The sequence below is a fragment of the Homo sapiens genome, chromosome 1 (genome assembly GCF_000001405.40).
Source record: "Homo sapiens chromosome 1, GRCh38.p14 Primary Assembly".
Classification (NCBI taxonomy): Eukaryota; Metazoa; Chordata; class Mammalia; order Primates; family Hominidae; genus Homo; species Homo sapiens.
The window spans coordinates 3,857,464-3,885,436 of NC_000001.11; the positions used below are offsets into that span (position 1 = coordinate 3,857,464).

At 51.6% G+C, this 27,973-nt stretch overlaps 1 protein-coding gene across 15 annotated transcripts, besides 4 other annotated features; it reads left to right on the forward strand.

Annotated features, from left to right (window-relative positions):
• DFFB (DNA fragmentation factor subunit beta) lies at positions 13–27,966 on the forward strand. Of its 15 annotated transcripts, none has more exons than XR_946563.3 (8): positions 13–254; positions 1,255–1,403; positions 8,299–8,537; positions 10,511–10,590; positions 12,142–12,312; positions 15,009–15,109; positions 26,044–26,337; positions 27,575–27,966. XR_946563.3 is itself a non-coding variant. In NM_001282669.2 (7 exons), the coding sequence occupies exons 1-7, from the start codon at positions 141–143 to the stop codon at positions 26,276–26,278; spliced, it is 1,089 nt and encodes a 362-aa protein (NP_001269598.1). In that variant the 5' UTR covers positions 13–140; the 3' UTR covers positions 26,279–27,966. The 15 variants fall into 15 exon arrangements, 8 of the variants coding, with proteins under 8 accessions (NP_001269598.1, NP_001307061.1, NP_001307065.1 ...); NR_104222.2 differs by adding an exon at positions 8,821–8,935 and having other exon boundaries at positions 8,349–8,537; positions 26,044–27,966; NR_135151.2 differs by adding an exon at positions 2,957–3,043 and having other exon boundaries at positions 1,255–1,381; positions 8,349–8,537; positions 26,044–27,966.
• Positions 55–234: an enhancer, noted in NCBI's record as "active region_67". NCBI's record gives its function as "activates an Ori minimal core promoter by ATAC-STARR-seq in GM12878 lymphoblastoid cells {active_cell/tissue: GM12878}" and the evidence as "EXISTENCE:reporter gene assay evidence [ECO:0000049][PMID:35858748]".
• Positions 845–894: a silencer, noted in NCBI's record as "silent region_127". NCBI's record gives its function as "represses an Ori minimal core promoter by ATAC-STARR-seq in GM12878 lymphoblastoid cells {active_cell/tissue: GM12878}" and the evidence as "EXISTENCE:reporter gene assay evidence [ECO:0000049][PMID:35858748]".
• Positions 12,462–12,756: an enhancer, noted in NCBI's record as "tiled region #4254; HepG2 Activating non-DNase unmatched - State 15:Elon". NCBI's record gives its function as "activates a minimal TATA promoter and a strong SV40 promoter by Sharpr-MPRA in HepG2 cells {active_cell/tissue: HepG2}" and the evidence as "EXISTENCE:reporter gene assay evidence [ECO:0000049][PMID:27701403]".
• Positions 13,502–13,704: a silencer, noted in NCBI's record as "fragment chr1:3787529-3787731 (GRCh37/hg19 assembly coordinates)". NCBI's record gives its function as "represses an EF-1alpha promoter that drives an FKBP-Casp9 reporter gene in an ReSE screen in K562 erythroleukemia cells {active_cell/tissue: K562}" and the evidence as "EXISTENCE:reporter gene assay evidence [ECO:0000049][PMID:32094911]".
• Positions 27,967–27,973: the final 7 nt, after the last annotated feature.

Below are 27,973 nucleotides of genomic sequence, written 5' to 3' on the forward strand. Positions count from 1 at the left end.
TCCGGGATCGGCACCCGGCCTGTGCCAGCTTGCAGAGCTCACCAGGTGCAGACCCCTGCGGCCAGGGCGAGGACGGATCTGAGCAGCTGGGCAGCAGGTGCCACCGCCTGTGGGACCCAGAGGGCTTGAGGACATCTGCAATGCTCCAGAAGCCCAAGAGCGTGAAGCTGCGGGCCCTGCGCAGCCCGAGGAAGTTCGGCGTGGCTGGCCGGAGCTGCCAGGAGGTGCTGCGCAAGGGCTGTCTCCGCTTCCAGGTGCCCGCTGGGCTAGGCGGGGACGGCCCGTCGGGGAGGCGTGTGGGGAGAATAGGAGGTGCCGCTTTTCCTCTTCCAAAACGGAGGGTGCAGGCGGCGCCCGGGGCGGGTAGTTTTCGTTCGCCTCAGCCGCTAGGACCCCGGGCCCCCGCAGCCTGGGGTTCCTGAGCGTGGCTTCAGAACGCAGGGGGGTTGGGGGACGACCTGGATCACCCCTTCCCTCTTCCCACCTCTCGGGCAGGACAGCCCTGCATCAGAGCTAGGAGACCCGGGTAGAGTGCCAGGTACTGGCACGCGGGGTCACGGCTGCTCTGCCTGTCCGGCCTCAGCTTCCCCTTGAGTAACATGAAAGGCTTGGCTAGGTGGGCTCTGCAGGCCCCTTCCAGCCCTCGCAGCTGGGGATTGCAATCGTCACCTTATTCTAGGTTGGTTTTCTTTTTAGACCAGTACTAGGGTTACCAGGTGTGCATTGCCGGGGTCGGTGCGGGTGGGGTGGGAGTAGCCATAAAATGCCTAAAACTGACCAGTGCAGAGTAACAGGGAACCGGACTCCAACAAATTAACAGTGCCACGTGCCGGTCACACTTGTGCACAGAGGCAACCAACCGTTCTCCTTCGTGTGCCAGCACCGCTCTGGCGGCTGTGTGCTGGGGATGGTGGTGTTCAGCTCCTGGCAGCAGGGAGGCGGCGCTGTCAAAGACAGGCTCTATTTGAAGCGCCCTCAGGAGCTCATTTAAAAAGGGTGAATCCTGCAGAGCCAGCAGTCACCCCCTGATGTATGTTTTTCCTGACTCTTCGTATTTTAGAACGGCCCGCAGTCAGGCGCCCTTGCTCCCGCTCCCTCATCCTTGCCTGGGCGTTGGAGCGACTGTGGCATACAGGCGGCAGCCTGAGCCTGCTTCTTTAAGCACAGCTCATTCCGGTCGTTTGTGAGGCCTGCAGATGCAAAGCCCTCGTCTTGAGACCCTTCCTCCTCCTGTTGCTTCTCCCGTCCCTGCAGCTCCCTGAGCGCGGTTCCCGGCTGTGCCTGTACGAGGATGGCACGGAGCTGACGGAAGATTACTTCCCCAGTGTTCCCGACAACGCCGAGCTGGTGCTGCTCACCTTGGGCCAGGCCTGGCAGGGCTGTGAGTGGCAAGGACTTTGGAGGTGGGCGGGAAGCTGGCACTCTCCGAGGTCCTGGGGGCTTAGCTCCAGGTGCCCATCAGGGTGGGGAAGAGTCCCCCTTACTGTGAACTCTCGGGTCTCAAGGAGGAAGCCCTCTGGAGGCAGAACTGGTCAGCGTCGCTTAGGTGGCAGAGTCCTCAGTCCTCTCGTTCATGAACCCAGCTGTTCAATTGGTCGTCTTTTTCTTCAAAAAATCTTTTAATTTTATTTGCGTTCATTTGAGGTGTCCTAGCAATTCCCAAGAGCAGAGGGAGGGCTTTGGGGTTGGGGCCTGCACAGTTTCATGGGGAAGGTGGAGCCAGGAAGAGATGCTGTTCTGTTCTGCTGGGCTGAGCACCCTTCTGGAAGGACGAGGTGGTGGTTCGTGGGATGCTCTCACATTGTTCTCGGTTGGTGTTTGCTAAGATGCTGTCCTCAGGGCTCAAGTTTGGGGGCAATTGCTTTGAGAGGTGGTTCTTTCGGGGCATCTGTATTGAAGCCTCAGGACACAAAGTCCTGCCTTTCAGAACCAGCCGAATGCCAAGGTCTGCGCTTGTTTGACTCCCGTAAAAGAGAGCTTTTGGCCACTGGGGCAGGAGATGCCATCATGTGCCTTTACCTGGGAGGGTCGGCCAGTGTTGTGCAAATGGGGTCAGGCTCCAGGAGATGCTTCTGGCAGCCCAGGAAGGACATGGGTGCTCTGAGGGATGGAGCTGTGGCTCCTTGGCCTAAGGGGCAAAAAGAGAGAAGTCGAAGAGTAACATCCATGTGGCCACCTCCCCGGCTACAGTGTTGGGGGCTCCACTGTCAGCATTGAGGGGTGACGCCTCTGGTGTGTGCTCCAAGGTTGCAAACCCCCTTTCTCCACTGGGCCTTGTGCTTTTAGAGGAGGCAGCTGGAAAATGTATCACTGTGATGCCCCCTGGGGTGGCCCCTGCAGGAGGTGGGGGCTGGGCAGGGGTATGCTCAGGGTATGCCTCACCTTTGGATGTTATCTTTCTTTCCCATTTCAGGGCATAGTTGAAAGACAGCAGAGCACGTTGCTCTCTCTCTGTCTCTCCCTGCATCTCGCAGTCTCTGTCTCTCTCCTCTGTCTCTGTCTCTGGCTCTCTCTGTCTGTCTCTGTCTCTCTCTCTCTCTGTCCTTCCTTTCTCTGGCGCTTTATCCTCCTCTCTTCGCTGAGACCGCTAGTCCTCCTCCTTGTTAGACTTAAAAAAAATTTTTTTTCTTTTCTTTTATGAAAACATTGAGATGGGGTCTCCCTCTGTTGCACAGGCTGGCCTCAAACTCCTGGGCTCAAGAAGTCCTCCTACTTTGGCTTCCCAAAGTGCTGGGATTACAGGCATGAGCCACTGTGCCTGGCCAAAATATTTTTGTTTTATTTATATTTTGAAACTTTGTTGCCCAGGCTGGAGTGCAGTGGCACAAACCTTGCTCACTGTAGCCTCGACCTCCGTGTTTCAAGTGATCCCGTTGCCTCAGCCTCCCAAGTATCTGGGACCACAGGCATGCATTACCACGTCTGGCTAATTGTTTTGTATTTTTTGTAGAGATAGGGTTTCGCCATGTTTCCCAGGATAGTCTCACACTCCTGGGCTCAAGCTGTCCTCCTGCCTTGGTCTCCTAAAGTGCTGGGATTACAGGTATGAGCCACTGTGCCTGGCCTAAACCGTTTATTTAGAAATAATGACAGATTCCCAGGAAGTTGCACAGATAGGAAGGTCCAATGTACCTCTACCCTTTCCCTCAAAGGCAACATCAGATACAACCGTGGTACAATATAAAACAGGAACACCGACACTAGTGCAATGTGCATGTTGTTCTGTCATTTCTCCCCATGTAGATTCCTGTGACCAGCATCAGGGTCAAGGTACAGCCCTCTCCCATCCATCACTCAAGGTTCTCCCCTTTATAATCCTGCCTACCCCTGCCCACCAGCAATCCCTAGCCCGTAGCAACTGCTGATATGTTCTCCATGTCTATAATTTTGTCATTTAAAGAATATTAGGGGCCAGGTGCGGTGGCTTACACCTGTAATCCCAGCACTTTGGGAGGCCGAGGTGGGTGGATCACCTGAGATCAGGAGTTCAAGACCAGCCTGGGCAACATGGTGAAACCCCGTCTCTACTAAAAATACAAAAATTAGCTGGGCATGGTGGCGGGCGCTTGTAATCTCGCTACTCAGGAGGCTGAGGCAGGAGAATCGCTTGAGCCCAGCAGGTGGAGGTTGCAGTGAGCTGAGATTGTGCCATTGCACTCTAGCCTGGGTGACAGGCTGAGACTCCATCTCAAAAAAAAAAAAAAAAAGAATATTAGGTAAGTGGAATCATAAAGTATGTGACCTTTTGAGATGAGCCTTTTTCACTCCACATAAGGCTCCCGAGATGCATGTAAGTTGTGTGTATCCATAGTCCGTTCCTTTTCATTGCTGAGTAGCATTCCATGGTTTGGTTTTACCACAGTTTGTTCAACCATTCGCCTGTGGAAAGATATTTTGTTTGTTTCCAGTTTTTGACTATTACAAATGAAGCTGCTCTGGCCAATTATGTACAAGTTTTTCTTTTTTCTTTCTTGTTTTCTTTTGAGACAGGGTCTCACCCTGTCGCCCAGGCTGGAGTGCAGTGGTGCAATCATAGCTCACTCTAGCTTTCACTTCCTGGGCTCAAGCGATCCTCCTACCTCCGCCCCTGAGTAGCTGGGACTACAGGGGTGCACCACCATGCCTGGCTAATTTTTGTATTTTCTGTAGAAACAGGGCTTCATCATGTTGCCCAGGGTGGCCTATAACTCCTAGGCTCAAGCAATCTACCCGCCTTGGCCTCCCAAAGTGTTGGGATTACAGGCGTGAGCCACCGCACCTGGCCATCTTGACAGGTTTTTGCGAGATGTAGGTTTTCATGCCTCTGGGGAGAATGCCCAGGAGTACAGTGCTGCGTTGTGTGGTGTGTGTTTAGTTTCTGAAGACAAGGATGTCCACTCTTGCTGCTTCTGTTTAACATGGTACTGCAGGGTCTAGCCAGGACATTTAGGCAAGAAAAATAAAAAGCATCCAGATTGGAAAGGAAGAAGTGAAGCTATTTCTATTTGCAGATCATATGAACTTGTATGTAGAAAACCCTAAGGAATCCACTAAAAAGTGATTAGAACTAATCATCAAGTTTAGCAAGGTTGAAGGATATAAGATCATATGCAAATATAGAAATACACTTCCAACGAACAATCTGAAAATGAAGCAGAAAATCATCCCATTTACACTGGCATCAAAAAGAATAAAATACTTAGGATAAGTGTAACAAAAAATTGTAATACTTATATTCTGAAAACTGCAAAATGTTGTTGAAAGAAATTAAAGTTTTGAATAAATGGATTAACATCCCATGTTCATGGATTGGAAAACTTAACATTGTTAAGATGGTGGGACTCCCCAAACTGACCTACAAATTCAACACAATCCCTATGAAAATTCCAGCTGGTTTCATTGTAGAAATTGACATGCTGATTCTAATCCACAGTTCATATGGAATTGCAAGAGACCCAGAATAGCCAAAACGACTGTGAAAAAGAAGATAGTAGGAGGACCCACATATTCTGATTTCAAAACTTAGTACAAAGCCACAGTAATCAAGACTGACACTGGTACAAGGACAGATATATAGATCAATGGAATAGAACAGAGCACCCAGAAATCTATGTATCTGTGGTCAGGATGCCAGGACCATTCAACGGAGGGGGAAGAGTAGTATCTTCAACAGATAGTGCTGGGACAACTGTATATTCACATACAAAAGAATGAAGTTGGACTCTTAGCTGGTACCTTATACAAAAAGTACAATAAATGAAAGACCTAAATGTAAAAGTTAAAAATATAAAGCCCTTAGAAGAAAACATAGCGATAAGTCCTCATCGCCTTGGATTTGGCAAAAGATTCTTAGATTTGACACCAAAAACATGAGCAGCAGAAGAAAAAACAGATAAATTGGGCTTCATCAACATTAAGAACTCTGGCCCGGGCACGGTGGCTCAAGCCTGTAATCCCAGCACTTTGGGAGGCCGAGACGGGCAGATCACTTGAGGTCAGGAGTTGAGACAAGCCTGGCCAACATGGTGAAACCCCGTCTCTACTAAAAATACAAAAATTAGCCGGGCGTGGTGGCAGGCGCCTGTAATTCCAGCTACTCAGGAGGCTGAGGCAGGAGAATTGCTTGAACCGGGGAGGTGGAGGCTGCAGTGAACGACAGCCCACAGAATAGGACAAAATAGTTGCCAATCATGTATCTAATACGGGACTTGCATCAGAATATATAAAGAATCCTTATAACTTAATAGTAAAAAGATAACCCAATTAAACATGGGCAAAGGTTCTGAAAAGAAAGAAATGTCTCCAAGGAAGATATTCAAGTGGTCGTAAGCACAGGAAAAGGTGCTTGAGATCATCAGTCGTCAGGGAACTGCAAATCAAAACCACAGTGAGATGCTACTTCACACCCACTAGGATAACAACCAGTGTGGGCGAGGATGCAGAGCGGCTGGAACCCTCAGGCCCCATTGATGGGAAGGGAAAACGGTGCAGCTGCTGTGGAAAATAGTCTGGCAGTTTCTCAACAATTACACAGAATCGCCATGTGACCCAGCAGCTCCACTCCTAGGTATGTACCCAAGAGAAATGAAAACACGTCCACACCAAAACTCGTCCGTGAGCGTTTACAGTAGCTTTATTCATAATAGCCAAAAGGTAGAAACCACCTAAGTCTCCAATGATGAACACTTGGATCAATAGAGTGTGGCACATCCATACAATGGAAGTACTCACCATGAAGAGGAATGAAACACAGCATGGCCGAGCCTTGAAACCATGCCAAGTCAAGAAGCCTGCACATACAGTAGGGTTCCATTCATAGGAAATACCCAGAACGGGGATGTTAGAGAGATGGAAAATAGATTAGTGGTTGTTTAGGGTTGGGGGTAGGGTAGAGGGGAGGGAGGTTGGTAGCTAAAGAGTATGAGGTTTCTTTTTGAGGTGGTGAAAATGTTCTGAAATTGACTGTGGATGTGGCTGCACAACTCTGGGAATATAATAAAACCCATTGTATTGTACACTTTATTTATTTTATTTATTTTTTTTGAGATGAAGTCTTGCTCTCTCCCCAGGCTGGAGTACAGTGGCGCGATCTCGGCTCACTGCAACCTCTGCCTCCTGGGTTCAAGCGATTCTCTTGCCTCAGCCTCCCGAGTAGCTGGGGTTACAGGCATGCACCACTGCGCCCAGCTAATTTTTGTATTTTTAGTAGAGACAGGGTTTCACCATGTTGGCCAGGATGGTCGCGATCTCCTGACCTTGTGATCTGCCTGCCTCGGCCTCCGAAAGTGCTGGGATTACAGGCGTGAGCCACCGCGCCCGGCCTCTGAATTGTACACTTTAAATGGGTGAATTATAAGGAGTGTGAATTATATTTCAATAAAGCTACTTAAAATAAAGAAAAGAAACTGCCAAGTTGTGTGCTAGAGTGGCCGTCTTACCTTTCCACTGCGCAGTTTCTGTGCAGCCTCGCCAGCTTTCGGCGCTGTTGCTGTTTTTAATTTTAGCCATTCTGATTGCAGTGTGGTGATGTCTCGTTGTGCCCTTAATATGCATTTCCCTAATGGCTAACAATGCTGACTATCTGAATATCTTTTATAAAAACAGAGACAGGGTCTCACTCTGTTGCCCACGTTGGAGTGCAGTGGCAATCATGGCTCACTGCAACCCTGAACTCCTGGGCTCAAGCGATCCTCCTACCTCAGCCTCCCAAGTAACTGGGACTACAGGTGTGCACCCCCATGTGCCGCTAATTATTATGATTTTTTTTAGAGATGGGGGTCTTGCTTTTTTTTTTAGAGATGGGGTCTTGGTTGCCAGGTTGGTCTCAAACTCCTGCCCTTAAGTGATTCTCCCACCTCGGTCTCTGAAAGTGCTGGGATTACAGGCGTGAGCCACCGCGCCCAGCCCTAAATATCTTCTTATGTGCTTATTTGCCATCTGTAGATTCTCCTTGGTGAAGTGTTTCTTCCTGTCTCTTGTCCTTTTTCTAATTGGCTTATTTATCTATTTTTTTACTGTTGAGTTTTGAAAGTCACGCCTCACCCCACAAACAAAATACCTGGACATGAGTTCTTTGTCAGACATGTGGTTTGCAAATATTTACCCTGTGGCTTTTCATTCTCTTAAGAGCATTTTTTTTTTTGCGGAGTAAGAGTTTTTAGTTTTGAGGAAGCTCAGTGTGTTGATTTTCTCTTTTACGCAGTGCTTTTGATGTTAGGTCTAAGGACTTCCACCAAGTCCTCACTCCCCAGCATGTCCTCCTGTCTTCTTCTGACCCACTGATGTGATCGTGAGGCTTTTCTCATATGGTGGATCGCACTGATCGATTTGCAGGTGTGAACCAGCCTTGCGTTCCCACTTGGCCGTGGTGATATTTCTTTGTGCATGTTACTGAGTTCTCTTTGCTAACATTTTGTTAAGGTCCTGGGTAGACTTTGCTTTAACTTCCTATTAAGAGCCTGCCCGGAGAGCTCGCTGCTTTAGGGAGTTGTGAAAAGGCTCCAGGAGAGAGTAGGAAAAGTGATCGGAAGGATCTGAAAGCAAGGTCTCCAGGAAGGGCCAAAGTGGGGGGCGTATGGTTTGGAGGGGAGGAGGCCAAATGGGAAAGCGGCCGTCTCTTGGTGCGCTTTCATCTGTCCTCTAAAGCACACCCTGCCCCTCCCTCCTCTGTCCTCATGCCGCCCTTGTGCGTGGTCCCCAGCTGTTGGTGTCAGGGCAAGGACAAAGACCCGGGACACCTCAAGTCTGAGTCCTGGTGATTGCCAGGCCCTGGGGAATGGGGGAAGATGTGGTCAGAGGCTCTTCTTGTGACCGGGGCAGGATGTGTCTTCTGCTGGACCGGCACCTTTTGTTTGTCCCATTGGTGGCAGATGTGAGCGACATCAGGCGCTTCCTCAGTGCATTTCACGAGCCACAGGTGGGGCTCATCCAGGCCGCCCAGCAGCTGCTGTGTGATGAGCAGGCCCCACAGAGGCAGAGGCTGCTGGCTGACCTCCTGCACAACGTCAGCCAGAACATCGCGGCCGAGACCCGGGCTGAGGACCCGCCGTGGTTTGAAGGTGCGTGGGGGCTGCAGCTGGCAGGGGAGAGGCTTCTTTGGAGCCTGAGGTGCCAGAAGAAGTTGGATTCCAAAAAGCCCCCAGTGAAGGGCTGGCCTGTACCCTCGTGGGTTGAGGTGGGGGACTTGGAAGAAAATGTGCTCATTTCCCAGCATTTCCCAGCCTCGTGGGAAAGGTACCCAGCAAGGACTCAGGTGGGGCCAGAGTCCAGGGCAGCCCTCGGATGGGACTTTTTATATTTTTATAGATATGTTTTGAGATGGAGTCTTGCTCTGTCCCCCAGGCTGGAGTGCAGTGGCGTGATCTTGGCTCACCGCAACCTCTGCCTCCCTGCACCCTCTGCCTCCCAGGTTAAAGCGATTCTCCTGCCTCAGCCTCCCGAGTAGCTGGGATTACAGGCAAGTGCAACCACGCCCTGCCAATTTTTGTATTTTTAGTAGAGATGAGGTTTCGCCATGTTGGCCAGGCTGGTCTCAAACTTCTGATCTCAGCCTCCCAAAGTGCTAGGATTACAGGCGGGAGCCACCCCGCCTGGCCTATTATAATTATTTTAAAAATTGTGCTAAAGTACATATGACATAAAATTTACCTTCTCAATCATTTTTTTAGTGCACAGGTCATCGGCATTAGGTACAGTCACATTGTATGCGGCCATCCCCACCGTCATCTCCGGAACTCCTTCCACCTTGCAAAGCTGAACCCGTGTCCCTGTTACATCACTCCCCCTTCCCCCTCCGCCAGCCCCTGGCCACCACCATTCCGGTTTCTGTCTCTCTGATTTGATGACTCTAGGGACCTCATATGAATGCAGTCACATAGTATTTGTCCTTGTGTAACTGGCTTATTGCACTCAGCACAGTGTCCTCAAGGTTCATCCATATCGTAGCGTATATCAAAAGTTCTTTCTTTTTTTGAGACAGAGTCTTGCTCTGTTGCCCAGGCTGGAGTGCAGTGGCGCGATCTTGGCTCACTGCAAGCTCCACCTCCCGGGTTCACGCCATTCTCCAGCCTCAGCCTCCCGAGTAGCTGGGATTACAGGTGCCTGCCACCACGCCTGGCTAATTTTTTTGTATTTTCAGTAGAGACGGAGTTTCACTGTGTTAGCCAGGACGGTCTCAATCTCCTGACCTCGTGATCCGCCCGCCTCGGCCTCCCAAAGTGCTGGGATCACAGGCGTGAGCCACCACGTTCAGCCAATTTCCTTCTTTTTAAGGCCAAATGACAGTCCACTGCGTGTACATACCACGCCATCTATTCACTCCACTGCGTGTACATACCCCACTCTGTCCATTCACTCCACTGCGTGTACATGCCACGCTCCGTCTGTTCACTCCGCTGCGTGTAGATACCACACTGTCTATTCACTGACACTTGGGTTGCTTCCACCTTTTGGCCTGGCCTTGTAAGCCCATCAGAGGCGATGCTGAGAGATTGTAGCCTTTTTGGGAAAGGAGGGCTTGAGGGCCAGGCAGAAGCTCCTTGGTGGTATTTGAGATGCTTCTAACAACAAAAACCAAACAGGGATGCTGTCTGTGTCGCCATTAGAATACTTCTCAAGATGATGCAATCTGGCCAGGTGTCGTTGCTCACACCTATAATCCTAGCACTTTGGGAGGCCGAGGCTGGAAGACAGCTTGAGCCCTGGAGTTCAAGATCAGCCTAGGTAACAAAGTGAGACCTCATCTCTAAAAACATTTAAAAAGTGAGCCAGGTGTGGTAGTGCGTCCCTGTAGTCTTAGCCACTTGGAAGTCTGAGGCAGGAGGATTCCCTGAGCCCAGGAGGTTAAGGCTGTAGTAAGCTGTGTTCGTGCCACTGTACTCCAGCCTGGAGGACAGAGCAAGACCCTGTCAAAAAGATGAAGCAGTATGACCCTCATATTCTGCCCTGCTTGGCACCTGGGCTGGGCAGGACACAGACCCAGAGGCCCCTGGCCTGCCCTGTGGACTTGGGGGTCTTCTCGTTTTCCTTGCAGGCTTGGAGTCCCGATTTCAGAGCAAGTCTGGCTATCTGAGATACAGCTGTGAGAGCCGGATCCGGAGTTACCTGAGGGAGGTGAGCCTGAGTGAAGACCGGGTATGCTGGGCGGGTTTTTGAAGCCAGGCTCTGTGGGCTCTGGAAGCCTGTGGTCCTCACGATGGGTAGTTGGTAGGACCACACTCCGTGCTTGCGTGGATCTGGTGGGGCTGCTCTGGTGAGGGAAGCTAGCGCACGGACCCTGTGCCTCCTCCCTTCATGGGGGTGAACACCCATCGGGCCTTTTCAGCTGCACTTGAGGTCACGGGTTGGGGAGCGGGGAGGTGGTGGCTCCTGCCTGCCTCCCCTCCTCTCCTCCTCTCCCCCCGAGGCTTCTTCCTGGGCAGCAGTGGCAAGCGTCACGGCAGACACAGAGCCTGAGCTGTCATTTGCCCAACTGTGACCAAGGTCAGCAGGTGCTACAGGGATCTGAGGCCCTTCCCATGAGCCCATCCTTGGTCTGCAAACCTCTCCACCGCTCCCTCCTCCCTCCCAAAGGTGGAGTCAGCTCTGCCCTCATTTCCATCCACCCCATCGAATGTGGATTTCCTCATCACATAGCATGACATGCCACGCTACACCATACCACACCATACCAGACCACACCACACCAGGCCACACCACACCAAGCCACACCACACCAGGCCACACCACACCACACCACGCCACACCACACCAGGCCACACCACACCAGGCCACACCACGTCATTCCACACCATGCCACACCGCATCATTAGCACATGGAGGGTGCTGTGGAGGCCCCTGCAATGGGTGTCCTGTCCTAGTGCTGCCCTGCGTGGTCGGCCCCCACGCCCTCGGCCCACTCCTCTCTGTGGCACAATTGCTAATGCTGCACTGCACCCCGTTTTTCTGCATCTCTTCGAGGTCCTGGCGACTTGCCATGTTCCCTTGCATTTCCCAGCCTGCTCCCTGTAGTGGAGCTAACTGATCCTGATACTCTTCCCTGCAAGTGCAATGACCAGGCCCTTCCACGCACCACTGCCTGCCTGACCAGGGTGGGATGGCCGTGCCTGCCTGACTTTATTAGCTCATCTTCTTTTTTGAGACGGAGTCTCACTCTGTTGCTCAGGCTGGAGTACAGTGGTGCAATCTCAGCTCACTGCAACCTCTGCCTTCCAGGTTCAAGTAATCCTCCTGCCTCAGCCTCCCAAGTAGCTGGGATTACAGGCATGTACCACCATGCCCAGCTAATTTTTTGTATTTCTAGTAGAAATGGGGTTTCACCATGTTGGTCAGGCTGGTCTCAAACTCCTGACCTCAAGTGATCCGCCCACCTCGGCCTCCCAGAGTGCTGGGATTACAGACGTGAGCCACCACACCCAGCCTGTTATCTCATCTAAGTCTCACCCAGCCTGGGGGCTGGTGTGGTTCCCTCCATTTCACAGGTCAGAGTCTCCCAGGGTGGGACAGCCCAGCAGTGGCCGAGAGGCCACGTGAACTCAGACCCTCTGACCACAGGACTGGGCTTGGGCAGGGTCTCAGAGGGCCATGGAGTGAGATGGATCGAGAGCCAGTGCGGGTTTTGGGGCGCTGTGCACCAGGCTCACCGACGTTCCTTGGTTCCTCCAGGTGAGCTCCTACCCCTCCACGGTGGGTGCGGAGGCTCAGGAGGAATTCCTGCGGGTCCTCGGCTCCATGTGCCAGAGGCTCCGGTCCATGCAGTACAATGGCAGCTACTTCGACAGAGGAGCCAAGGGCGGCAGCCGCCTCTGCACACCGGAAGGCTGGTTCTCCTGCCAGGTGAGCTGTGTGCCCTTTATCCTGGGGCCACCCGGCTGGCCTGTGGAACACAGCCCGCCTGGGGCGAGGCGGGTGGGGACCTTCAGCCCTTGCCCTGCCTGGGCAAAGCCTTGTGAAGAGGTACAGCCCTCACATTCCCAGGGAGGGCGGCAGTGTCTCAGCCAGTGCCTCTCAAGCTGCAGTGCACACAGGAATCCCTGGGGAGCTTGCAGAGGGCTGCAGGGCCCGCCCCAGGGCTTGTCTCGGTAGTGCTGGGCGGTGTCTTAGTCAGCCCCGGCTGCCATAACAGATGACCCCTGCTGGGGAGGCTGGAACGGCAGCTGGTTACTGCTCATAGTTCTGGAGGCTGGAAGCTGAGATCAGGTCCGCACTCCCCCGCTGCCTTCCCAGGTGTCCCTGCTGCACCGTGCTAGGCGTGGTCTGGCCTTTAGTGGTGATGCATCTGTGTCTCTGGCGAGTCCTGGGCACACCCCTCCCCCTCCCATGGTGTGGGGAGCAACTTGAGGCGCCTCTTGGCGTTTGCACACTGCAGTTGCATTCCCGGTAAGGTCCACTGATGCCCGTGATCTTCCGAGTGCCACTCAGTGGGTCCAGCAGCAGGGGCCAGGTGGTGGGCATGGCCTGCGGTGCTTCTTCCCATGGGACAGGGCTCCTTGCTGCTCCTGCCAGGCAGATCCTTCTGGGGTGATGGGCTCTGGCCATAAAAACGCTTCTTCCAAGTTAGCTTAACATTTAGACTTTGCAGTGCGCTCGCTCACCACTCAGTGAGTACTTACTTTGTGCCTGGCACTGTGGGAGGGGTTGGGACACAAAAATGAAAAATCCTTCATCCCTGATGGCAGGGTGAGTCCTGCACAATGGAAGGTGAAAGACACATAAATGAGCGAGACAGAGGAGGCCAAGGGGCTGCAGGAGCCGCAGCCAGCATCCTGGGAGCCAGGGCCAGTCAGAAGCGGCCCCAGGGAGGGGGTGGGGCCTTAGAGCAGGTTGACTGATAGGTGGGGGTGCAAGAGTGAGCTGGGAGGGACCAGGTGCTCCGGGCATGGCAGTGGGAAGCAGTGGGCTCTGCTGGGGAGGCTGTGAGTCCCCAGGGTGATGGGGGCACAGAGTGCAAGTAGGCACTGGGGCTCCCGGCACGTGCTCTGCAGATGTCTGTTCACGAATGAGTGTGTTGAGTGCTGGGCTGCGGACCACAGGGAAGACGGAAGCTGTGGCCATGGCACCTTCAGTGAGGCAGCCCTGCCTCTGCATTGGGATCACAGGGAAACATCAGGAAGCCGCGGGCAATGGCTGGAAAGGGAGCCTCTGGGACATGGGTCCTTGCTTCTCACGCGCTGGTCCTGCCCTGGCAAGTCAGTACCTTCCTGGCCTCACTTCCCATGAGGTGGGGGTGCTGGTGTGTGATCACACGGGTAACAGTGACAATAACTACCTTGTCCTCTTTGGGAACTCAGAACATATTGTTAGGGGTAATGAGGGAAAAAGAAGGATCTGATTCCAAAGGCAGAGCTTTTTTTTTGTTTGTTTGTTTGAGACGAGTCTCGCTCTGTCACCAAGCTGGAATGCAGTGGTGCGATCTCGGCTCACTGCAACCTCTGCCTCCCAGGTTCAAGTGATTCTCCTGCCTCAGCCTCCCAAGTAGCTGGGATTACAGGCGCCCGCCACCATGCCCGGCTAATTTTTGTGTTTTTAGTAGAGATGGGGTTTCACCATATTGGCCAGGCTGGTCTGGAACTCCTGACCTCAGGTGATCCACCCACATTGGCCTCCCAAAATGCTGGGATTCCAGGCATGAGTCACCACCGTGCCCGGCCAAGGCAGAACTCTGAATCTCCCTAAAGCAGTATACCCTGGAGCAGGGACCAGCCCCCACGGGGTGCGTCTCTCAGTAAGATCACCTGACTTGGTGTATTAGGCCATTCTCGCATTGCTATAAAGAAATAGAGAGTGGGTAATTTATAAAGAAAAGAGGTGCAATTGGCTTACGGTTCAGCAGGCTGTACAGGAAGCATGGCGCTGGCATCTGCTCAGCTGCCGGGGAGGCCTCAGGAAACTCACACTTGTGGTGGAAGGGGAGGCAGGAGCAGGCACATCTCACGTGCGGGGAGCAGGAACGAGAGAGAGATTGAGGGGAGGGTGCTACTTTTAAGCCAGATCTCAGGAGGACTCACACTGGCGTGGGCAGCACCCAGGCGATGGTGCTAGACCCTTCATGAGAAATCCACCCCCAGGATCCATCACCTCCCACCAGGCCCCGCCTCCCACACTAGTGCTGACATTTCAACATGAGCTCTGGGTGGGGCTGCACGTCCAAAGCATGTCACTCGGTGACTGAGACTGTATGAGACTCACTTCTGGCCGGGCGCGGTGGCTCAACGCCTGTAATCCCAGCACTTTGGGAGGCCAAGGCGGGCGGATCACGAGGTCAAGAGATCGAGACCATCCTGGCCAACAAGGTGAAACCCTGTCTCTACTGAAAATACAAAAATTAGCCGGGCCTGATGGCGGGCACCTGTAGTCCCAGCTACTCGGGAGGCTGAGGCAGGAGAATCGCTTCAACACGGGAGGCGGAGGTTGTAGTAAGCCGAGATCGGGCCACTGCACTCCAGCCTGGCGACAGAGCGAGGCGCTGTCTCAAGAAAAAAAAAAAAAGAGACTCACTTTCTGGCCTTCCCTCATTGTCTTTTGGCCCCCAGGGTCCCTTTGACATGGACAGCTGCTTATCAAGACACTCCATCAACCCCTACAGTAACAGGGAGAGCAGGATCCTCTTCAGCACCTGGAACCTGGATCACATGTAAGCTCACAGAGCGAGGTTCAGACCCACGAGTGCCTGCAGGGCCCTGTCCCTGCCGTGGCCCTGTCCCTGCCATGGCCCTGTCCCTGCCACGGCCCTGTCCCTGCCACGGTGTTGCCTCCTTGGGTTTCAAGGGCTGCACCCGTGTTACAGCCCAGGGAAGGGGTACCTGATGGCAGCATAGGGGGCTGCTGAGTGGGCACACACCATTCCCTCCACTGTCAGCATGTGTACCTGACCCGGAGCCAGCCCTCCTGTCCCCTCCAGTCCTCCCTGTGGATGGAGCTGGTGGGCAGCGTCCTTCCCCAGAACACAGGTCCCAGCCCTTGGCTGTCAGAGGTTCTGAACCTCTGTGAGTTTGAACCAGGGTGAGCTCAGACAGCGGGAGCTCCTGGTGTTATGATAGGTAAGGGTGTTTTTCCCTTTTTCTTTTTCTTTTAGAGATGGAGTCTTGCTCTGTGGCCCAGGCTAAAGTGCAGTGGCAGGATCATGGCTCACTGAAGCCCTGAACTCCTGGCCTCAAGCAATCCTCCTGCCTCAGCCTCCTGAGTCGCTGGGACTACAGGTGCTCGCCACCATGCCTGGCTGGCTTATTTTGTGGAACCAGCATGAGCAGAAGTCTCAGCAGGCAGGAGTGTTTCACAGCCGTACGAGCTCTATGGCTCTAACAAATGGGCAGGATGGAAAACTTCATTCTTTTAAACTGAGATGCATTCCTTGAATATAATTGTAGCCTTGCCCTTGCTTTTTGAAGACAGAAGCCTTCAAATGCCCTTAAAATGGCTGTACAGGATGAGCATCCCTAATCTGAAAACCTGAAATCCGAAGTGCTCCAAAATTCAAAACGTTTTGCGACCAACATGACGCTCAGAGGAGATGCTCATCCGGGCATTTAGGATTTGGGATTTTTTTTTTTTTTTTTCTGAGATGGAGTTTTGCTCTTGTTGCCCAGGCTGGAGTGCAATGATGTGATCTCGGCTCACCGCAACCTCCGCCTCCCGGGTTCAAGCGATTCTCCTACTTTAGCTTCCCCAGTAGCTGGGATTACAGGCACGTGGCACCACGTCCAGCTAATTTTGTATTTTTAGTAGAGACGGGATTTCTCCATGTTGGTCAGGCTGGTCTTGAACTCCTGACCTCAGGTGATCCGCCCGCCTCAGTCTCCCAAAGTTCTGGGGTTACAGGTGTGAGCCACTGCATCCGGCCAGATGTGGGATTTTTTTAAGGATGCTCAGCTAGTCAGTATAATGTAAATATTCCAAAATCCTAAAAAAATCCCAAATCCAAAACACTTCTGGTCCCCAGCATTTCAGATGGGGACATTCAACCTGTATTGCTTTCGGAGTGAGATTTTTTTTTAAAGTATGTAAAACACTATGGTCATAGTTGAGCTTTTACCCTGTCCATACTCAGCCTCTACACCTTGCCCCGAGGGAAAACACTTGTGAAAGGTGTGTGTGCCCTTCAGAGCCCTCTCACTGCACCTTTACCACAAGCGTGTGAGTTTATCATGTACATACATGGTGGCCCACGCTGTCATCTGCAGAGCCGTGTAGCTGCACCTTTACCACACGCGTGTGAGTTTAACATGCACGTACGTGGCCTCCCACGCTGTGGTCTGCAGAGCCGTGTAGCTACACCTTTACCACACGCATGTGAGTTTAACATGTACATATGTGGCCTCCCATGCTGTGGTCTGCAGAGCCGTGTAGCTGCACCTTTACCACACGCGTGTGGGTTTAACATGCACATACGTGGTGGCCCACGCTGTGGTCTGCAGAGCCGTGTAGCTGCACCTTTACCACACGCGTGTGGGTTTAACATGCACATACGTGGCCTCCCACGCTGTGGTCTGCAGAGCCGTGTAGCTGCACCTTTACCACACGCGTGTGGGTTTAACATGCACATACGTGGTGGCCCACGCTGTGGTCTGCAGAGCCGTGTAGCTGCACCTTTACCACACGCGTGTGGGTTTAACATGCACATACGTGGCCTCCCACGCTGTGGTCTGCAGAGCCGTGTAGCTGCACCTTTACCACACGCGTGTGGGTTTAACATGCACATACGTGGCCTCCCACGCTGTGGTCTGCAGAGCCGTGTAGCTGCACCTTTACCACACGCGTGTGAGTTTAACATGCACATATGTGGCCTCCCATGCTGTGGTCTGCAGAGCCGTGTAGCCGCACCTTTACCACACGCATGTGAATTTAACGTCTACATACGTGGCCTCCCATGCTGTGGTCTGCAGAGCCGTGTAGCTGCACCTTTACCACATGCGTGTGGGTTTAACGTGCACATACGTGGCCTCCCATGCTGTGGTCTGCAGAGCCGTGTAGCTGCACCTTTACCACACGTGTGTGGGTTTAACGTGTACATACGTGGCGGCCCACGTTGTCGTCTGCAGAGCCGTGTAGCTGCACCTTTACCACACGCGTGTGGGTTTAACATGTACATATGTGGCGGCCCACGCTGTCGTGTGCAGTGTACCTGTTCATTGCATGCTGTGCTTAGATTCGGCATATTCATTTCAGCAGGTGCAGAACACTTCACTTTTTGAATAGGCTCTAATTTTAACATCTTTCCATACTGGGAGGCATTTAGGTTATTTCTAATTTCTCATCATTATAAAAATCCCTGGGATGAACACTCTATGGAATGAACCCATATGGTCTGGTTCCGTGCTATTTAAAGTGTGGTTACTTTCAAGCATTAGCAACATCTGGGAGCTGGGAATTCAGATTCTCAGGCCCCATCCAGACATAACCCAGGTGCCTGGGGATTGGGGTGTGCGTCCCAGCATGGACAAGATGCCCCAGTGTCTGAGCTTGAGTCCCTCTAGTGAGTGTGCTGGGTCCTAATGACACCTCTGTTCCCTCTCTGAGCCTGGCCAGGCTGCTCTCGAGTGTCCCAGCCTACACACTCGCCATCCGTGTGAGTTCATGCTTTCCCGGGTTCTTGCTGACACTTGGTGTCATTGTACTTTTTTGCATTTTCCCAACCCGATAGGTGAGACACAGATTCTCTTTCTCTAATTTTCATTTTCCTGATGACTAGGAAGGTTGAGCTTCTCTTTCCACGTCTGTGGCCGCTTGTGTCTTCTGTGTTTCTTTCCTTTGCTCGTTCTCTCTTGGGCTATGGTCTTATTTGTGGGCATGCTTTACACATTCTGGATACGTTAATCCTATGATATCTTTTATCACAAGTTTTATTTATTTATTTTTTGAGATGGAGTCTCACTCTGTCGCCCAGGCTGGAGTGCAGTGGTGTGATTTCGGCTCACTGCCACCTCCACCTCCTAGATTCAAGCGATTCTTCTGCCTCAGCTTCCCGAGTAGCTGGGACTACAGGTATGCACCACCACACCCGGCTAATTTTTGTGTTTTTTTAGTAGAGATGGGGTTTTGCCATGTTGGCCAGGCTGGTCTCAAACTCTGACCTCAGGTGATCTGCCCACCTTGGCTTTCCAAAGTGCTGAGATTATAGGCATGAGCCACTGTGCCTGGCCCACAACAAGTTTTCAGTGTTAATGTGCTCAGATGTTCCCTTTGTATGTTAAGAAATCCTGCCCTACCCTGTCTATCCGAAAGAGATTCTCCTACTCTTTTCTCTGCTGTTTGCTGGACCCCTTGCCACATGCAACAAGTACCCAAAAATGTTTTCTCCCCGCCATCCAAATGCTCTTGTCCTTTTCAAGACCATTGCAGGTGGGGACATCAATCTAGGGGACACAATCAGCATTTACAGAATGAAATAGGCCATCCTAGAACAGAGTACAGATGAAAATAGCAGAAGGGACAGCGTGAGTCAGAGGAATGTTTCACCAAGTGTTTGCTGCGGTTATATTTTCTCTCACGCTTCCTAAATATGTATACTCACACACAGATAAGTGTGTTGGGTTTTAATTAAAAATGTAGTTTTCAGCACCGGTCTTCGGAAAGTTGCAGAGACAGTGGTCTGTTTGCCACAGGCCTGTCCTGACGTTTGTGGGGGTTGACACCACGTGCCACATGTTTAATTATTTAAGAATTAAAAGCTAATGAACAATGAAATAAAATGCATGCTGTCCCCCTACCTGGACTTACGTAGCATCATGGCTGGGAAGGTTCGAGAAGAATTTGCAGGTCTTCCCCAGTTCCGGGATGTGCACAGCAGTGGAGCCTAAACATGGCCTGCCACCTGCTGCCTGCACCTTCTCTTCCCACCCTTAGTGCCACCTCACACCAGGGGCCTGCACAGAGAGCGTCCAGGCTTGGAACACCTTCCCTCTCGGGCTGAAGGGCGCGGGCCCTGGGGCTCAGCCTGTCCGAGGAAGACGGCCTGGCCCAGAGCCCATGCGGTTCAGGGGCCCCTGGGCGGAAGGTGGCACGAGGAGCGTCCGTGTGGGCTCTGGGTGGACCTGACTCCTCAGCCCAGAAGAATCCTGCCTCCCGTGGGAGGGCTGTGGCGGGTGGGGCCTGGAAAGCTCCCCTTTCCTGGAGCCCTGGGGACGTTTCTTTTAACACCATAGCGGGGTCCTCATGGCCTGTGTGAGCCCTGCCGCTGGGGAACTTTCCTTTCTGTCTCATCACAGCTGTCTTTGGCCGTCTTTGGCCCTTTACTTCACTTTATTAACGTTTGCTTTTTTGTAAAATTTATTCCTACCTTCTACCTTTGTGGGTTTCTTCTTGCTTATTCATTTGTTCGTGTCTCTTTTGTATCTAATCTATACTTAAGGTAGTTCCTCCTAGGCTGCATGAGTTGTGTCTTGGGAGTTCAGTTTTTTTTTTTTTTTTTTTGAGGCAGAGTCTCACTCTGTACTCAGGCTGGAGTGCAGTGGCATGATCTCGACTCACTGCAACCTCTGCCTCCCAGGTTCAAGCGGTTTTTCATGCCTCAGCCTCCCAAGTAGCTGGGATTACAGGTGCGTGCCACCCCGCCTGGCTAATTTTTGTACTTTTGGTAGAGACGGGGTTTCACCATGTTGGCCGAGCTGGTCTCGAACTTCTGACCTCAAGTAATCCACCCGCCTCAGCCTCCCAAAGTGCTGGGATCACAGGTGTGAGCCACCGCGCCTGGCTGGAGTTGTTTTGAGACTGAATGATTTACATTATGATTTTGTTTTTGATCCATGGATTTTACAGAAGTCTTTTTAGTTTCCGAGCATGTTTTCGTGTTTGTGTTCAGTGTCTTGTGTTCCTGCCTGCCTTTCGTTGTGGTCTGTTTCCTTGTAACTGGTCAGCGTTTGTAGATGTTCATAACACTCAGCACCTCAGTTCCACTGTGCCGGCTTTCTATTCTGTGCCGGCTTTCTATTCTGTGCCGGCTTTCTCTCGGTCCTGTGGCGTTTCCACCCCTTTCCTTTGGCCTTTATGTGCCATTAGGTTTGGGCTTATCTCTTGTTAGCCAAGGGTAACAGCCTTTCGTCTTCATCTAACCTGAGATTCTGTCATTCAGCCAGCCGCAGCTTGAACCTCCTGCTGCAGGTGTTGTGACAGCTGCTGTCTCCTAGAATGTGACTCTGTGGGGTCCCTCGCTCTCAGCTGTGTCCCCAGTGTGTGGGACGTGGGACAGAGTTTGGCCATGATGGCTACTCAGTGAATATCTTTTTTTTTTTTTTTGAGACGGAGTCTTGCTGTGTCGCCCGGGCTGGAGTCCAGTGGCGCAATCTCCTCTGACTGCAACCTCCGCCTCCTGGGTTCAAGTGATTCTTGTGCCTCAGCCTCCAGAGTAGCTGGGATTACAGGCACCTGCCACCATGCCTGGCTAATTTTTGTATTTTTAATAGAGACAGGGTTTCACTATGTTGGCCAGCCTGGTCTCAAGCTCCTGACCTCAAGTGATCTGCCCACCTCAGCCTCCCAAAGCGCTGGGGTTACAGGCGTGAGCCACCACGCTGAGCCCACTCAGTGAACCTCTGTTGACCGTTTTGTTGAGTGAATACAGATTGGATTTTAGCTGCTTTACTCTGGGTTTGTACCCACCATGCCGCATCTTCACTTTCTTCTGGTCTCTTGTGTGCCTTCTGTTGACTTACTTGAGTTTCCTTCTTTCCCTTGCCCATCACCCCACCCTTTTGTGGTTTGGCGTTCATGGTGTCCCTAATGTTAGTGATACTGGAAGACGGCACTGCTGCTGTCCCCTCTCCCGGGCCGGCCTCGCTGTGACCCTCTGCGGTATTCTTTAGTGTTCGTGTCTCACCTTATTTTAATCCTGCACAAAATGCTGGTGTGGTTTTATGGCCAACACTTCCATTTATTTATCAACAGATTCACCCGTGTCTGTGTTTGCCAGTGCTTCTTGCATCTCATCTCTGGGTTCAATTTCTGATTACTGATGTGTAGCCCTTAGTGTTTCTTCCACGAGTGGCTGTGAGGGGTAAACTCTACTCAGCATTTGAAAAGGTCCGTTCAACTTCCACTCTTGAGTAATTATTTAGTTAGTACTGAATTCTAGGATGACAGATACCTACCTTCAGTACTTTGAAGAATAACTCCATTGTCTTCTGGAATCTGTGAGAAATCTGTTGGCAGCCTAATTTTCTGCCTTTTTAATGGTAGTTTTAGATTTTTCTCCTCCTCTTGGAAAATGATAAGTATCTAGGTAGAGCTCTTTCTTTTGGATTCTGCCTGGGACTTGTATTCCTTGTGCTGAGGACACACTTTTCTTTGGTTTTGGAAAATGCTTCTGCGTTGATGAGGTGTGGCTTCTCTTTGATTCTGCCTGTGCGGTTTTCCGGGAGCGCCTGTTAGCTGTGTGTTGGACCTTCTCATTCTGCTCTCCTCATGCTGTGCCTGCGTCTGGGCTGCTGTCTCACTGGGACTTTCTGCTGTGGACTCCATCATGTTCCCCAAGATTCGTATGTTGAAACCCTAATCCCCAGTGTGACTGCATCAGGCGATAAGGTCTTTGGGAGATAATGAAGGTCATGAGGGTGGGGCCCTAATCCACTAGGACTGGTGTCCTTAGAAAATGGGAAAGGAGCTCACTCTCCCTCTGTCTCTGCCACGTGGGGACACAGCAAGAAGGCAGCCATCTACCAGCCAGGAGGAGAGCCCTTACTAGCACCCGGCGTGCGGGCACCTGTTCTTCCAGCCTCCAGGACTGTGAGAGAGTAAATACTCAGTCTGTGGTATTTTCCTCTGGCAGCTGGAGCACACTAAGACACTCCTGTATTGTTCAGGAATTCTCTCTTCAGCTGTTCATATGTTCATTCTGTCCGCTGAGTACATGCTTCCTTTTTTGGGTTCCTAAAGAGCCCAAAAGAAGTGCTTTTGGGTTCTTCATAAAACGAGCCTTTTTTATGCCAGTCTGGTTTCATTATTTCCATTTCTTTTTAATCACTTTAATCATTAATCATCCATTTTAAGCATATTTGTTTTACAGTCACATGCTAAAGCATTCAACCTTGCCCACAGGTCTGGCATTCGTTCTTGAGCCCTGGGAGGTAAACGCCAATGCCTTCAAATGTCCTGCCTGGTAGGAGTGTCTTTGTTCACCTGGGGGCCTTGGGTCACTGGATAGTTTAATGGCGTGATTTAGGATGGGGTCTTTGGTTCAGCTTGACCTCTAGAGGGTTTGAGGTGGAGGTTGGCCCCATGGGCCATCAGCCATGTCTGTGTGAGCCCCAGTAAAGGCTGGCACCCAGGCCTGGTGAGCTTCCTGGTTGGCAGTGTCGTCACAGAGGGCTGTGGAAGTTAGTGCTTGGGGAAGGTAGGGCTGGCCATGACCCCACAGGGAGGGGACAGCTGGAAGCTCTGGGATTGGAACCTTCCTGGACCGCCCCCTCTGTGCCTCTTAACCTTGGCTGATTTTCATCTGCAGCTATAAGAAACGATAACCTTGAGTCCAACGGCTCACTGGGGGATCTGCGAGTCCTTTCAGAGAGTTATGGAGTCTGAGGTGGTCTCAGGGACCCCTCCCTGCTGTAGTTGGTGTCAGGAGTGAGGGTCCTTGTGGACTGTGCTGGGCTCCTGAAGGGCCTGTCACGTGGGCAGCCCTCTGCCGCTGCTGGGTCTGCCTCTCCTGCTGGTGGAGCCTTCTGCTGCTGTGTGTTTGGGCCTGGAGCTCGCTTCAGTGGGAAGTGCTTCCCGTAGGCCTCCTCTGTGCTCCAGTGTGTCACGGTGCCTTCAGTGTGGCTCTGGTGGAGCCTTCTGCTGCTGTGTGTTTGGGCCCGGAGCTCGCTTGGGCCTGGAGCTCGCTTGGGCCTGGAGCTTGCTTTAGTGGGAAGTGTTTCCTGTAGGCCTCCTCTGTGCTCCGGTGTGTCACGGTGCCCCTTCAGCATGGCTCTTCGTGGGTTCGGATTTGATTCCTGCGGATGCCCAGGGTTTCCCTGTGACTTGGAAGCAACTTCCTGCCATTTCTTGCTTGTGGTTCCCTGCCTTGTTGGTCGTGTACTTTGGGCCGTACACCCTGCGTTCTGCGGATGACTGTGAAGGTGGGGACAGGAACACACTCCCGATGTCCACACCCTGTGTGCTCCCCTGCCTTCTCTCCCCACGCTGAATTCAGGCTTGTCCACGTGACACCAGTGAAGGCAACACTGAGCTAACAGAGGCCTGCTTGTGTGGGGGACTTGTCCCCTCTGAACACTGCCATGGCCATGTGAGGGAGCCTGTCCTGGCTCCTTCAGGATGGGGGAGGACAGGGGAGAAGGGCCCAGCCCTAGGCCACCCTCCATCAGACACAGCCCCGGTGTGCACCAGGCAACACCAGCAGAAGGCCCCCCAGGCCAACCCCCGGAAGCCACTGCATTTTGTGGTGGCTGCTTCTGCAGCATTAGATAACGGGCTCAGTGGGTTTCCCTTCCTCTTGCCCAAGCCCCGGGCTCCACTCAAGCTTTTCTATCCCCCTTAATGGCTATGGCAGGGGTCTCGGTCCCACCTCCCTGTCTTTCTAGGGTCCCCTGGGCCTGTATCAGGGACTGGAACCCTGGTAGGCCCCTGGACCATAGCTTGCCTGTGTGCACTAATTTCTCTTTGGTTTCTGGCAGCTGGGGAGCCCCTTTCTTTTGATCTCAACTAAGTATTTTAACAAGGTGACTTTTGGCTGGGTGTGGTGGCTCATGCCTATAATCTCAGCACTGTGGGAGGCCAAGGTCAGGAGTTCAAGGCCAGCCTGGCCAACACGGTGAAACCCCATCTACTAAAAATACAAAATACAAATACAAAAATTAGCTGGGTGTGGTGGCGCACGCCTGTAATCCCAGCTACTCAGGAGGCTGAGGCAGGAGAATGACTTGAACCCAGGAGGCGGACATTACCGTGAGCTGAGATCGTGCCACTGCACTCCAGCCTGGGTGACAGAGCAAGACTCTGTTTCAAAAAAAAAAAAAAGGCGACTTTTGCTCAGCATTTTGTGGGTTGTAGGGAGAGGGGTCTGCACCAGTTTAGCTCACTCAACACCCACCATAAGCCCTCCTGGCCGTGGGGTCTCTAAACCCCACTTGTTACTGCACAGTCTTCCAAATGGTTTATAAGTGAAACAACATCATGTTGTGTGTGTATGTGTGTGCGTGTGTGTTTGGGACAGTCTCACTCCAACCAGGCTAGAATGCAGTGGTACGATCTTGGCTCACTGCAACCTCCGCCTCCTGGGTTCAAGTGATTTTCGTGCCTCAGCCTCCTGAGTAGTAGCTGGGATTACAGGCGTGCGCCACTATGCCTGGCTAATTTTTTTGTCATTTTTGTAGAGGTGGGGTTTCACCATGTTGGCCAGGCTGGTCTCAAACTCCTGGCCTCAAGTGATCACCCACCTCATCCTCTCAAAGTGTTAGAATTACAGACGTGAGCCACCACGCCTAGCCTCATGTAGTTTTTTGTTTTCTTTTTTTTTTCAGACAGAATCTCACTCTGTTGCCCAGGCTGGAGTGCGGTGGCACAATCTTTCTCTCTGCAACCTCTGCCTCCAGGGTTCAAGCAGTTATCCTGCTTCAGCCTCCTGGGCAGCTGGGATTACAGGCATGCATCACCATGCCCAGCTAATTTTTGTATTTTTAGTAGAGATGAGGTTTCGCCATCTTGGCCAGGCTGGTGTTGAACTCCTGACCTCAGGTGATCCGCACGCCTCAGCCTCCCAAAGTGCTGGGATTACAGGTGTGAGCCACTGCGCCTGGCCTCATTTGTTTCTTAAACAGATACGCATATATGCATATAACGGTATAAGATTAGGATTGGAAAGATCAATAGCAAACCCTTAATAGTGATTACCTCTGAGGGGAAGGAGGGACATAAGATTACAAGTGGTATCAAAAGTGACTTCAGCTTCCTTTGTAAGGCTCTGTTTGTAAAACTTTCATGTTCTATCATGTAATTTTTTGGGGGTAAATGTATACGTAGATGAAACGTGGAGGCAGTTAAGCCAGTTGTTGATGGTGGGTGACTGTAAGTGATGGAAAGGTGGTTGACCCCCTTTATTTTCTGCGTACTTTTCAGTATTCTGAACAGTGACACGAGTCTTTTTTTTTTTTTTTTGAGATGGTGTTTTGCTTTTGTTGCCTAGGCTGGAGTGCGGTGGCGTGATCTTGGCTCACTGCAACCTCCACCTCCAGGGTTCAAGTGATTCTCCTGCCTCAGCCTCCCAAGTAGCTGGGATAACAGGTGCCCACCACCAAGCCCAGCCAATTTTTTGTATTTTTAGTAGAGATGGGGTTTCACTATGTTGGCCAAGCTGGTCTCGAACTCCCAACCTCAAGTGATCCACCCGCCTCGGCCTCCCAAAGTGTTGGGATGACAGGCGTGAGCCGCCGTGCCCGGCCACAAGTCAAGTTTTAAAAAGTAAGAGGAGCCAGGCTGCTTGCATCAGGCTCTGCTCAACAAACCTGGCCAGTAGGTGCGGCCGTGTGTCCGTGATAGCACTTAGGGGAATTTGTGAAGAGCTGTGACTGCAATACACTGCTATGACCTGTTGCCTGTGGCACTGTGACCACAGAAAATGATGTCTCTAACCTTACTTTGCAGAATAGAAAAGAAACGCACCATCATTCCTACACTGGTGGAAGCAATTAAGGAACAAGATGGAAGAGAAGTGGACTGGGAGTATTTTTATGGCCTGCTTTTTACCTCAGAGAACCTAAAACTAGTGCACATTGTCTGCCATAAGAAAACCACCCACAAGCTCAACTGTGACCCAAGCAGAATCTACAAACCCCAGACAAGGTTGAAGCGGAAGCAGCCTGTGCGGAAACGCCAGTGACACGTACACACCACGTCCTGGTCTTTGTTTGAGGCCTGACGTGGGCATCATTTTAACAGGTGCCTTTTTTGTTTTTTTGTTTTTCGTTTTTTTGGTCACTCCAGTAGCTCCTGGAAAAAACCTTAAAAAATGTTTCCTCCAAATCTGATTTCATTACATTTCTGAATTGTTGGGGTTTTTTTTGTTGTTTTGTTTTGTTTTGTAGATGGAGTTTCACTTTTGTTGCCCAGGCTGGAGTGTAGTGGCGCGATCTCGGCTCAGCCTCCCGAGTAGCTGGGATTACAGGCATGTGCCACCACGCCCGGCTAATGTTTGTATTTTTAGTAGAGACGGGGTTTCACCATGTTGGTCAGGCTGGTCTCAAACTCCTGACCTCAGGTGATCCGCCCACCTCAGCCTCCCAAAGTGCTGGGATGACAGGTGTGAGCCACTGCGCCCAGCCTGAATCATTTCTTATACCTTCTGACAGCCCAACTTCCAGAGGACAGCTCTGGGGTACTCGTTGGATGTCTGTGAGTACCTGGTCATACGGGTCAGTAGGGATAAGAATTGTCTCTGGGCTGAGGAATTCTTCTGTTCTCTGGTTTCACCAGCGTTGGGTTTGCTCATGTAATGTGGTCACCATACTCAAATGGTGTCATGGCTGAAGTTGGCCACCTTGCTTGAGGGACAAGTTGTTTATGTATCAGCTCTCTGCTGGGTCTCCCTTTCCATGGCAAATGGGCAGCTCCATCCTCTTGACTCTTCTAAATGCCCAAAAGAGGTGTCATGCTTTGGGGGTACGATGTTTATACTCCGTAAAGAACATACAAGGACATTCACTGCTGATTTTTTTTTTTGTTTGTTTGAGACAGGGTCTCACTCTGTCGCTCAGGCTGGAGTGCAGTGATGCAATCTTGGCTCACTGCAACCTCCGCCTCTCAGGTTCAAGTGGTTCTCCTTCCTCAGCCTCCCAAGTAGCTGGGATTACAGGCACCTACCACCAGGGCCAGCTAATTTTTGTATGTTTAGTAGAAACGGGGTTTCACCATGTTGGCCAGGCTGTTCTCGAACTCCTGACCTCAGGTGATCTGCCCGCCTCGGTCTCCCAAAGTGCTGGGATTACAGGCATGAGCCACTGCACCTGACCTGCTGAATTGTTTATAATGGCAAGAAATAGGAAACCCCCCAATGTCTGTTGAACAGCTATCACGTTGAACCACGTGAAACTGCTGTTTTCTAGGCCAAAAATGGTGAGCGATCATTTATTTCATGATTCAACCTGATACATTTACATAGTGCAAAACTGTGTCACAGTTTCAGGCTTTTATGAGGAAAGCGTTTCTGTGTAGAAACTGGAAGCTGTTCAGGGCATCGGCAGCTGAACCCTGCTCCGTTGGTCAGCGTTACTATCATCTCGGATCATATGGAGCTCATGTCAGCCGTGTGGGTGGCGGGTGCACAGAGACGGTCTGGAAGGAAACACGCGGATCTGAACAGCAGTAATCCTGGGGGATACGGGGGTTGGGCTAGATTACAGAGGGCTCATTTTCTACGTCATGTATTTTATGATACTTGAATTTTTTGAAATGGGCATTTATTTTATAACATGTTAAAATGTACTTTTTAAATTAAGTCATTTTGTAATATTTGAATTTTTACATTTGTTGTACAATCAGGAAAAGCAATAAAGATTTTTCAAAAATAGACATGTCA

Bases quoted from the DNA above. Each gene is read 5' to 3' on its own strand.
- DFFB (NM_001282669.2), top strand. From the start codon at position 141: ATGCTCCAGAAGCCCAAGAGCGTGAAGCTGCGGGCCCTGCGCAGCCCG. The intron at 255-1,254 runs GTGCCCGCTGGG...CCGTCCCTGCAG, and splicing joins AGGGCTGTCTCCGCTTCCAG to CTCCCTGAGCGCGGTTCCCG. The intron at 8,538-10,510 runs GTGCGTGGGGGC...TTTTCCTTGCAG, and splicing joins GGACCCGCCGTGGTTTGAAG to GCTTGGAGTCCCGATTTCAG.